Source organism: Homo sapiens, chromosome 13 (genome assembly GCF_000001405.40).
Source record: "Homo sapiens chromosome 13, GRCh38.p14 Primary Assembly".
Classification (NCBI taxonomy): Eukaryota; Metazoa; Chordata; class Mammalia; order Primates; family Hominidae; genus Homo; species Homo sapiens.
Genome location: NC_000013.11, coordinates 68024870 through 68037380, shown reverse-complemented (window position 1 = coordinate 68037380; position 12511 = coordinate 68024870). Strand labels below are relative to the sequence as shown.

Genomic DNA, 12511 nt, shown 5'->3' with positions numbered 1-12511 from the left:
TCAGAGATATCCCACAAGTATTTGAAGAAAACATGCCATAATTGGAAATAAGAAACTGAAGGTTGAAAAAACAAAAAGAGAGGCATCATGTGTTAGGAGACTGGAATTACTGGATACAAAATTTAAAACAAATTCATTTACTATTTCTGAAAAAATAAAATTAAAATTAAAGATATGTACAGGGCCAAGTTAACCATAAGATATAACATTAGTAACAAGGCAACGAAATAAAAGAAAAAACAACAAAAATTACACAGAGGACAAGTTTAATGACTCATTTGACACAGTTAAAAAGCAGTGATTTCCAACTCTAATTACACTGTAAAAATCTCATTTGCTATAAACTATAACGTACTCATGGAAGTACTATCTCATCCTATTGATAGATTTTGCTCACACTCAACACAGGGATGAAAGTCATTGAGGATCAAATTAGACTCAGGGTCACAGAAATTCTGCCAACTTTAACATATGCCTCCCTAGGTTTCCCTAGGCATTGTCACAATAGTAAAGTGAAAAGAGAAATAATATGAGGGATATCACTGCGGAGAACTATGGCTCAGACCAGGGGGTGGAATACACATTTGTGTGTGCATTCCATTGGCTAAATGTAAGTGATATAGCCATTCCTAAGAGTTACAGAAATTAGAAATATTATCCAGCTCTGTGCCCAGAATGAAAGGAGAAGTGCTTTTAGATGGTTACCTTTTGATTTCTGTCAAAAGAGAAACCCTTTCCAAAGTGATTTTGAGAATTTATATTTTCCAAAGTTGGCCACAACAATATGTTTATTCCCACATGCACTTCTGCAATGTGACATTGCCATGCTTTCATGAAGAAACATTTTATTTCTCCAGGCCCTTGAACATGAGCAGGCTGTGGAGGCAGCTTAACAAGTAGAGCAGGGGAAAAGTAGGACCTTTCCAGTTCTGGGAAACTGTGATTGATCCTCAATCAATCTTGAAGCATCACAAATTTTGGAATATTGATGCTTGAGTTGTTCTCCAGTGGGACATGGGTACCATCCTGTTTGAAGTCCAAGTCACCTTGAGAGAGAGACCACATGTAGATACTCTGCCAGAAAGCCGCAGCTGACCTCCCAGCTGACCTGCTAGCATCAACTACCATGTCAGCGACCCTTCTTGGTGACTCTAGCTGTAGCTGCTCCTGAGTGTAATAGATGAGGTACCTGAATAAGAATAACTTAGTTAAGCCCAGACAACCTACAGAAATACAAAAGCTAATAATAAATGATTGCTTTATACTGCTACATATTGGGGTGCTTGGTATGCAAGAATAGATAACTGGAACAGAAATTGGTTTCTGGACTTGAGGTTCTATTCTAAAAAATATCCTCAACATATGACATTAGTATTATGAATAGGCAATAGGCAAAAGCACGGAAGCCTTGAGGAGACAAAAGAAATGTAAGAAAATATTGTAGTGGAGGATGGAGGAAAACATGACCTATATTATACAGTATTGGAAGGTATAACAACACAGTCTGCAACAGTTTGCAATAACATGGAAAATAGAAAATATATTTAAGAACCTGGTGGCTCTAGTTAGGAAGATGGTCAAAATAGTAGCTCTCATCCCATATTCTCTTCTGCAACATGCCTTTGTCACTCCTGTATTAAGATATAGATTTTGTCTGTTAACTCTCTTGAATCTGACAAGGCTCATGACTGCTTTGACCAATGAAATATGGCAGAAGTGACAATGTGGTTGCTCAGAGAGTAGCCTCCAATTTGCCCAGTAACTTCATATTTCTGCTTCTGGAGACTCTTGTTCTTGGCATGTTCCCTCCCAGAACACAGCTGCCATGTTTTGAGAGCCCAGTCACACGGAGACACCATGTGCAGGATCCAGTAAACAGCCCCATCCAAGGGTAAATATCAATTGTTGGTATTTTGAGCCGACCATCTGGCATGTCCAGACCAGTTGAGCATTCAAGGGATTCCAGCCTCAGATGCAATCTGTTTGCAATTTCATGAGCGACCCAAGCAAGTACCACCAGCTGTGCCAAGTTAACCTATGAAACCCTTCAAGATAATAATAAATTGTCATTTAAGCCACCAAGATGTGACATGGTTTGTTATGAATAAGGTGGGGGCACTCCTGCTGCCCAGGACCCAAAGGACAGAGTATCAAGCCACAGAAGATTCTTGGAATAATTCAGATCTTGATATTTGATGGAATCTGCTCTGCTTAGCTATGAACTAACTTGCTTTAGAGCAGTGCTCCCTTTATTTTTCCCATTTTCTCCCCTTCTAAGGGGGAATGCCTACCCTTTGCCAGTCCCATCATTGTATTTTATAAGCAGGTAACTTGTTTTTGACTTTTATAGTTCCATAGATAGAAAACAATTTTGCCCAAGAACATACCCAGAGTGTCACCTACCTGATCCAGATAAAATTTAGATTATTTTGAGTTGAAGTTTAGATGAGATTTTGGATTTAGAGTTAATGCTGGAATGTGTTGGGGGATATTGAGATGAGGTGAATGCATGAGAGACAGATGTGAATTTTAGGGGATGATAGGGCAGACTATAATGGTCTTAATAATTATTTCCAAAAATTCATATCTACCCTGAACCTCGGAATTTGACCTTATTGGAAATAGGGTCTTTGAAGTTGTAATTAGTTAAGGTGAAGCCATAGAGGATTAGGTAAGCCTTAAATTCAATTATTTGGTTACATGATAAAAAGAGTACAGGAAACAAACACACAGAGAAAATAATATACAAAGACAGAGGAAGAGATTGGAGCACAGCCAGGAGCTAAGAAATGGCAAGGATTTATTGGAGCCACCAGAAGCTAAGAAGAGGAAAGAAATGGTTTTTCCATACACCATTCAGAGAGAGAGTGAACCTGTGGAAACCTTGATTTCAAACCTCTAGTCTTTAGAATCATGTAAAAATAAATTTCCATTGTTTTAAATCACCGAGTTTGTGGCCATTTGTTACAGCATCACTAGGAAAGTTACACAAAGCATTATAATATTTAAGAAAAATATATTTGTCATGCTATTTCCCCTCATTTCAGTGTCAAGAAACAAGGATGATGCTAAAAGGTAATGTAAGAGTAGATTATTGGCTCTCAGGGCAGGATATGATGCCCGTTGAATGTACAGAAAAGAGGTAGTGAAGTGTTGTCAGATTCCAGGAGAGGTTGTATCCTTTCTCACAAGTCAGGACAAGAAAAATACTTCCAACAGAGGTTTTTTTTTTACAAGTGGAATATCTTTGCCATCAACTGCACGCATGTTCTGTTCTTTCCCACTGCCCTGGAAAGATGATTATATGATTCTCTATATTTTAAATACATTTTTGCCTAAATTCAAACTAATATATTATAAACGATTGTATCAAATCTATTTTAAGCCATATATTTTTAGTTAATTTAAAAACATTGTAAGAAAAATCAGCTTTTTACAAAGTGGCTGTGTTAGTTAACTCTTGCCCAATAATGCTTATTAATATCTCCCTCCCCCAAAGCCTACTGGCATCCAATGGTAAGCTTTTATCTTCTTTTCTATAGCTCTCTAGGTCAGCTGGTATGGTTCTGCTTCAAGTCACAGATTTGCAGGTTAGCTGAAAATTTCTGTGAACTCAGCTGGCCTCAGCTCAGCTCAGCTGGGCTTGGCGTCAGGCTTCAGAAATAGTGGCTGTCTGGAGTATTTCTTGCCATGTTGCAGTAGCAGAAGCACAAATGCACTAATCCAAACATCCATACATATTTCATGCTGATACTTTCATCTCATTGGCTAAAGCAAGTCACATGGCTTAGCAGAAATTCATGGTCTAGGAAAGTAGAAGTGTACTCCACTCACAATGAAAATGTTGCAAGTGTGCAGTTCGTACTACTACTAACGGGGACATGAAGAGTCAGGAATAAAATTCAGTCCCCCACAATGTTATAGATAAATGGGCTCCAAGCCACCAAGGGAATTTATGGTGAGATTCCCTAGTTAGGAATCTGACTGCCACATATTTTTCAGATTCTACCAGCACAGTATCATCAGCCTGGCAAATGATTGGCACATTCTGAGAAATTGCCATATTAGAGAGTTGACATATCTTTTATGTAAAATGGAAAGGAGCCATAGCATCCCCGACAAGTGGAAACATTGCATCTGGCTGTGCACTGGCTTTGTACTTTGTCAAACTAGCTCAGTTGGAACTACATTTTCTAGAATCCCTTTCTCTGAATACTTCTGAAGTAGGGTTTACAATATGGAAAAATTGAGCAAGATTTAGAGTCAGTAGTGAATATTTAATAGCTGGCTTCCCAGAAAATAAAAGTTCTAATTAGAATTTGCCAGTTTCTATGATGAAAAGTCTCCCCCCTTTGGCAATTTTCACCTACCACTAGGATGTTCACTGTCACAACAAATTCTGGAAATTAACAATTGGCTCTTATGAACTACTACGACCCAACTCTGTATTTCCACTAGACATATGTGTCTTTTAGTTTTTCCTCCTACATTCCATGTTTTCTTTGAAAGTTTGATAATGTTGAGGGTTTCAGTTTTCCTTGCTCTCTGCCATTTTATATCCAGATTTCCTTCTTGACTAAAGATCTGAAAAAACATGAACCTAGCTTAACTACGGTGTCTTAAATTCTAATACACAATTGCCTTTTAGAGAATTCTCCGTCAGCCCCCATAATTACACAGTTTAATCCCTATAATAAATCCTTTATTTTATAGCCGTCTTGGCGTCTTTGTTCAATTTCTACTAATATAATATACTTTATTCTTCATAATATAGATGAAAGTTTTTGCCAAACTGATAACCATATACTAGCAGCTAAAGACAATATTAATTTTTTTTTTTTTTTTTCTGAGACGGAGTCTCCCTCTGTCGCCCAGCCTGGAGGGCTGTGGCACGATCTTGGATCACTGCAATCTCCGCCTGCTGGGTTCAAGCGATTCCCCTGCCTCAGCCTCCCAAGTAGCTGGAACTACAGGCACACACCACCACACCTGGCTAATTTTTTTCTATTATAGTAGAGATGGGGTTTCACCGTGTTGGCCAAGATGGTCTCAATCTCTTGACCTTGTGATCTGCCCACCTCGGCCTCCCAAAGTGCTGGGATTAGAGGTGTAAGCCACCATGGCTAGCCAACCATATTAATTTATAAGAAGTCTACATCTGGAATAACAGCTATAATTGCCTGATTAACAATTAGCACTGACAGATTTAGAAGTTAGAAATCTCACTCCTGAGGGTTTCAAGTGGTTGATGCAAGAATACACAAGGTAAATAGCAAAAGATTCAATGTCTTTTATTTAGCACCACAACCAAAGTAATTCTAATTATATTAGGATTCTTCAAGGAGCTGAATATAACTTTTTCTACTATAGAGGTAACAGACATGTCTAGGTAAAGGATTTCACTATTAAATCAAACTACATTTGTCATCTGTTCTCCATAATACCACAGTCTGTCTCATGGACAGTGGTGGTGTCCAAATTTCTATGTGATTCAAGTAAGTTCGGAATTAAATATTCCCTTAACATATTTAGTTATTTTGCTTGTCTAAAAGATGCAGTCTCCTATATTAATAATCATAGGACACTTTGGGCAAGGACAAGAGGATAGTTTAAATATGCACTTGTGATTTTATAGCAGAAATATTCCCCAAAGGTACTTACATTTAAGGGACTCAGTCTTTGAAGCAACTCAAGCCTGAAAATTATAGTTGGAATTATTTCACAGAGTGTCTCAAATCATAGCTATGTTCACAAGAATAAATTTTCCTTTCTTTTGCCTGTTATTGCTAGTGGGGTGTTCATACAAATTATTTATCCACATCTAGAGATTTCTGAGGTTTGGACTACTTTTGTATCTATGATTACTGAGTATTTCTAGTTGTCTATGATAATTAAAATTATTCAATATTTGATGGTGATTGCATGATTCCATCTGGTCTCTGCTTTTACTATGCTACACACTTACTGATATCAAAAGCACCTGTTAGATTGCATAATAATAAACAAGTATGAACTCTAGAAGGCCTTCTTGGTTTTGTCTTACAAGTAAGGAAATCTTCATGAACTACTGAGTGTGTTTAGGGGAAACTGAAAGTTTGGATGTTTCCAAGTCTCATTCTAAGATATCCTCACTCCAGTTGCATTATCATGGGTTAATATGCCCGTTCTGTAACATGAACTAGAATATCACTGTCTTTTACTCTATCACCACATTATTGGATCATTTACATGCTCCTGGCCACCTGATCTGAGCAATCATTCTCTGGAAACAATTTTTGCATGCGAAGAATTGATCTCAAGTAACAATAATAAAATGCCTAATGTAAGCATAAGGAGCTTTTTGGAATTATGTAAATTATATCACGTAATTTGAGTGGGAAATAATCTATTCTTAAAGAGGAGATGAGCTTTATGCAGAATTTAGTGCAGTCTTTTTAGTATACGACTGTAGATATAGACTATTCACTTTTTCAGTCCTGTGTACCTTACCTTAATTTGAAAGGATAGAGCATCTATTTAGCCTAGCTTTGTCAGATGCACAAAATTTGGCAGAGTTTTCTGACAAGCTGATTAATGTTGCAATAAGGAATATATCCAGCGAAAGTATGACTGTTCTCAAACCAAGACAGGAGTCATTACTAAAATTAAATAAATGGATGCCAAATGGGTAAAAACAAAAGCTGTCTACTATATAACCTAAAGATGGTGTCATAACAAGAGCAGAATCTTAGAAATAAGAATCTAATAGTGGCAAGAGGCTTAGCATGACTGACTCCATTTTGCCTTTGACCCCCCAACTGTGGAATATCCTTTATGTTAAAAGCTTCTGCTTACCTTTGCATGTAGACCAGCTAATTATAGGAGGGCTTGAGCTTGTAGTTTAACTTTAGGGGAAAAATGATAATAGTGCCTGTCTCAAAACTAACTCCTAAGGAGATAAGGAAGTGTATACACAATTAATAGCATTTTGTTAAAGATTAATAGAAACATCATGACCTGATCTACTTCATCTGAACCACAGTCAACTGACCAAAAACAAAGAAGTTTCACAACCTCCTCAGACCCTCCCTGATCCCCACATTACTGTGGTCATCATTACATCTTGACCTCAACACCTGTTTTTTCCCTTCCTTTAACATAAAAATGAGCCTGAAGTTTATGTTAATTTAAGATGGTTCTTTAGGATGCTGGTCCATCATCTTCTTGTTTGTTAGCTTTCCAAATAAAGTGACTTTCCTTGCCCCAACACCCTGTCTCTCAATTTACTGGCTGTCACATGGCAAGTTGTATGAGCTTGGACTTGGTTACAAGGAGACAGTTTTTAAAAAATGCACACATGTATCAATTTCACATGTATGCACGCATGTATGCAGAGAGGCACTTCACTTCTCTGAGCCTCAGTTTTCTTATTTTTGAAATAAAATTGTTAGACTAGTTTATTTTTAAAGATAATTTTAGTTATAAATTTTACTGTTTTATTTTTCAATTCTTAACAAATCTGATGGTCACATTATGACTCAATTTACTATTATTTGTTTTTCAACTTCAGCAGATATGTCCAGTCACTATTTTCCAGAGATGTTTCTGAACTATATAACTAGGTTATAAGCTCTGGTTACATATGAATGTACTTACCCTTTTTAATGGTAGATTCACTGAAAAAAGAGTGAAGGTCAGTCCTAGGAAATATTTAAATAAAAAACATGTTCTTCAGTATCCCCTCAATAATCTTGGTAGCCCTTAGAAATCTTTTGATGCTTTTCATCTTCCCAGTCTATTTCTCACCAGACATTGGCAAATATGACCTGAAAGATAATAAAACATATAAAACATATTCTGGATATTTTTATACTCATCATATCCAGCATCTACACTTTGCTAAAAATTGTATTACTTTTTCCTAATTGATAACTAATAATCGAACTTCTGGATACTAGATTTTCCAGGATACTCCTGTCATGTATGCTCTTCTAAATTTTTTTTCTATTTTCCTAAGCAATGGGAAACTAGAATCATGTTTCTAGACATGGTTGTCAGCAATACTCTGGTTTGAATTTTGTCAAAATAATGCAGTCACATGACATTTGGGAAGTGGGGAAGAAATAAACTTCTCCTCTGGCCTGAAGGGTAGATGTGTGGACATATGACACAATTGATGTTTGTATGATTTCCCAGTATAGCTCCTGTAAATCAACACTTATCATTGCTGGGGTGCTGAAGACACCTTAGATTACTGATAACAATTTATTGTGCTTCTGCTACTTTCTGATTTCTCAAAAACAATCATCATCAGACTAGAAGGTTATGCTTGTTTCAAATGTTTTTCTGATGACAAATCTGAAGATCTGTATGTAGGTCAAAAACCAATGATAAAAGCTAAAATAGGAATGTCTGATTTATCTATTACAGATAAATCTGAGGCTCAGGAAATCTTGACTCCTTTGACACATGAATAAAACAAATAAATATGGCAAGACTCTTCTGCTTTTGTCAGCACCAAATATATGTTACTGGCTTTTTTGGTTGCTTCTTGATAGTCTCCTCTCTTGCTTTCAAAATATAATCCCCTTCATCCCTTAGGCTTTGAGCTGAGGTTTAGATCAAAGACACTTATATCTTCTCTTTTCAGTCTGTGTGATAAGATTGATTTTTAAAAACATTTTTGAATGTGTTTTATAACAAATTGTATATTACTGTTAACTCTTAATTCAACCACTTCGATACACTGCCTATTGCTTTTATACTTTTAAAGTGTTTCTACTGGAGTTGAAGTCTACTCACAGAATAATGATCAGGAGGAGCATATTTTGCTTGTTGCCTGTATTTTAGCCATACAGGTTACTTACAGTATAGTTATATGATATAGATTCACTGTCAACCTAAATAACCAATAAAGACAGGCTCTCTAAAATAAAATGATATTCAGGCATAGGATATTGCGATGGGAATATGCATGTTATAGTAAACTATGTGCATATGCAGGAGGTAAAAGGAGACAAAGGCTTTTAAAGAAAGAATAAGGAGGATCACGTAATTATTCTGAAATAATTACCCTTGGCCATAAGGATCAAGAGTGATGCCAATCTGAAGTTAGACCACCAGTTGCTGGGCAGATGTCCTCAGAAGTATTTTTTGTAAAAGGCTTGTAATGATTTTTGTGCAAGTTGATGCTTTTTCTAGGTTCTTTTGTGATTGTTTCTGTCATCAGACATTTATGCATGACAATTCTCTTCATGGGCTTCTGTGGCTTTATTTGACAGTTTTTTTTGTTTTAATACAAGTGACTCCATTTTAATTCTCACAATTTTTACTTCACAACAAACTGTGGAATTATATTTACAGAAATAATTGAAGCTGCAATATGCTGCTTTTTTCTTAATTATCTTTTACTTTATAATATATTTTTAAAGATTTTCTCTTTTATTGAACTAAATGTTTTGATTTCTAGCCAAAATAAATAATCATAAATATTATTGCCTCCTATTCTTTCTGGAATAAGCTTTTGAGTTCTATTGTACAGCATAATGACTATAGTTAATAATAATCCTGTATTTCAAAATTCCTCAAAGACTAGATTTTAAATCTTCTCACCACAAAAAATTATAGCCTGTAAAATTATGGATATGTTAATTACCTTGATTTAATCATTCTTCAATGTATACATATATTAAAATTTCACATTGTACACCATAAATATATACAATTACTATTTGTCAATTTAAAATAAAAATGAAATGAAATAAAATAATTTTCTAGGGAAGATTGTATATCATTCTTTCTCATAAAGGACCCCCTACTAGGTTGCAATCATGTCCGTTTGAATGAGACCGTGAAATGGTCCTTCATGCTTTGGTTATTTCAAGCTTAAATTACTGCAGCCCCCGGCTGGCTTCTGGCCCAAGAGGAAACTGCATCAACTCCAGCTGGTGTAGGATATTGCTGTGAAATTCATCTTGCAAAAAACATCAGTCTGAATATATTTTCATGCCCCTTTCTAATTTTTATCCAAATAATATATTATACGATATATTAATTATAAAATAATTTCTTTTACTGTAAAATGTTTAGTGACATTGGCTCACAGAGTATTACTCTTTGCTCAAGTTTTTCTTTTTTTTTAAAGTACTCTGAAGCAAACTTTCCGTTAACCTCAAGGTTAGCTTATAATCATCTCCTAATAAAAGCCTTGTGAAGTTGCTTTGCACCTTTATTTATAGAATTCTTCAATAACGTGTGTTTTGGTATTTTATAGATATAGATACATCTTTTTTCACAAAGTTATATCTTCAGCTTTTGTAAATATAAAAAAATTAAAAATTGTTTCAAGGTTACAGCTCTTACATTAACAATGTTTTCCAAATTGTCAGAAAGTATGTTACATAAAACTGTGACTGCAGTATTATTACACAGTGCAATATATATTCTATATTTAAGTGTTTGGTTTAATGGACAAAAACAGATCAAATTTTCTGATTTTCATTTGAGAACTAGTTCATTTCTGTGAGCAGAACATGCTTCAGGTAAGCTTAATATCACAGTATTGCTCTTCGGAAAAAAAAATGTATATATATATATATATATATATATATATGCTAGGGTTACATGGATTTACAGGATAGTATTGGGGCCTTAGTAACATTTATAATTTAGGAAAGTAGATGAAAAGTTTACCCTATTGTAACATAAAGCAATTTTTTATGTCTGCTATAAAATACTGTACACACAATATAACACAAGAGAGGAGAAAGATGAAGGTCAGTGCAAATTATATGCAGGATTTGGCAGAATCTTGGAAGGTGGGAAATTTTTAATAGGCCAGAAAAACAGTAGGGGAAAGGCCACAGAATCAGGGAACAATGACATGGGTAAAGAAACAGAGAAGGAAATATCTGAGAAATAGGGAGCTATACAGTTTAACTTTCCTCTTGAAAGTGGGGAAAGAAAAAAAAAATCATTTGTGTAAAAATAATATTATAAAATCCCTTGAAAATCTGCTCAAATAAATTCAGAGAAAGTTTGTGAAGAGGGTGGTGGTATAATTACTATAAGGTCCTAAAATAGTAAATTATTGATGAATGAGTAATAACAAAAGCGTGAGTTAGAGCTAGCACAGTGCAAAAGGACAAGAATAAAAATAAAACAGCAATAGCCTACGTATTTAGAGGTACATTCCTTTTGAGGGACACTAATGTATATACATTAGGGACTTTCCAAAAAATTTTAATTAATATTTATCATTAGAAATCGTTGTAACCCATATTTTATTAGATGGCCAAACTGACCATCAGAAAGCATTACCAATACACTACCAATACCTGGCCCACCTTCACTTACCTTAATAATAAGTCTCAGGACCTGCAGTTAAATTCAGGCCAGTCTAACTTTGTCTAAATGATGTCTATGAAATAATTCTCTGTCTAAATTCAAAAAGACATAAAATAAATTCCTGTACTTTTTCTTGGAAATTATTATTCTTCCTTTTTAAAATATCATTGTTGTGTTAATAAAAGGTTCTTTATGTCATGTTACTATTTTAGGTACTAAGCAGGAAAACAAATTCCAGAGCACTGAAGAACACTTAAGGTCCGGGTACATCAGTCAGCTGATAGCTCTCAGCATTGGACCGGGAAAAAAAAAAAAAGTCTTTATAAATCCAAGGCATTTAAAAATACCTATCAATCTTTCTTTTCATAATATATATTATAATCTCATACACTTCTCTGTCCATGTTTGTAGTCTGTATTTTAAGGACAGTTACAAACATATTATTTATCTATCATCATAGAATATGATTTTATACAAAATTACATTCACGCATCTTCATACCTATAAAATGTTTATTTTGTATTTTACTTTTTCAGGACCCAGACCTCTGGTTTAATTCAGCACATGAAACAATTTCTTCTCCTACCTTTTGAAAAGCAGCTGCTAATAAGTCCCTGAGTTGGCGGGTAAGGATTCCACATAATTTATAGACTAAAGCTTGAGGATGTGTTGCAGTACAAATCTTATTTAGCAGAACTAACGAGATATTGACCACTTCCTCCATGTTACCCAGTGCTTTTATTTTGTACCCTACCTGGCGATAATGCTAACAATTGGGGATTTCATCCCCCAAGGGGGGAACTAGCAAATCCCATCATAAATAAAACTCTGTATTTAGTGGTCATATCAGCTCAATATTTGCATGGCAAAGAGCATTATTGCTGCATAACAATTTGAGAGTGAGTTACTTTTTAATAAAAAAATTGTTTCTAATATATTGCTAATGCATTCAATTACTGGAAAATGTCAACTAAAATTACCAAATTACTAACATGTGAAAATCCTCAGTAATTTAATAATTTGTTAGCTAATGAGGTTAACTAGTTTTATAGCTCTTCGTTTTTTGGTGAAGAGCAAGTTCCTTTTCGTGGGAAATTATTTATATGTATTAGGTTCCACTATAATTAAAGATATTTTTAAATAAGAGATTTTGTAATGGAATTATTTTCTGTTCATAAATTAGTAG

General features: G+C 34.9%; 1 long non-coding RNA gene across 1 annotated transcript; it reads right to left on the bottom strand.

Annotated features, from left to right (window-relative positions):
• Positions 1 to 249: 249 nt before the first annotated feature.
• LOC101927072 (uncharacterized) lies at positions 250 to 11569 on the bottom strand. The gene is made up of 3 exons (XR_245442.5): positions 11335 to 11569; positions 7636 to 7805; positions 250 to 1189 (listed from the first exon to the last, which is right to left on the bottom strand). It is a non-coding gene; the product is annotated as an uncharacterized LOC101927072 (long non-coding RNA).
• Positions 11570 to 12511: the final 942 nt, after the last annotated feature.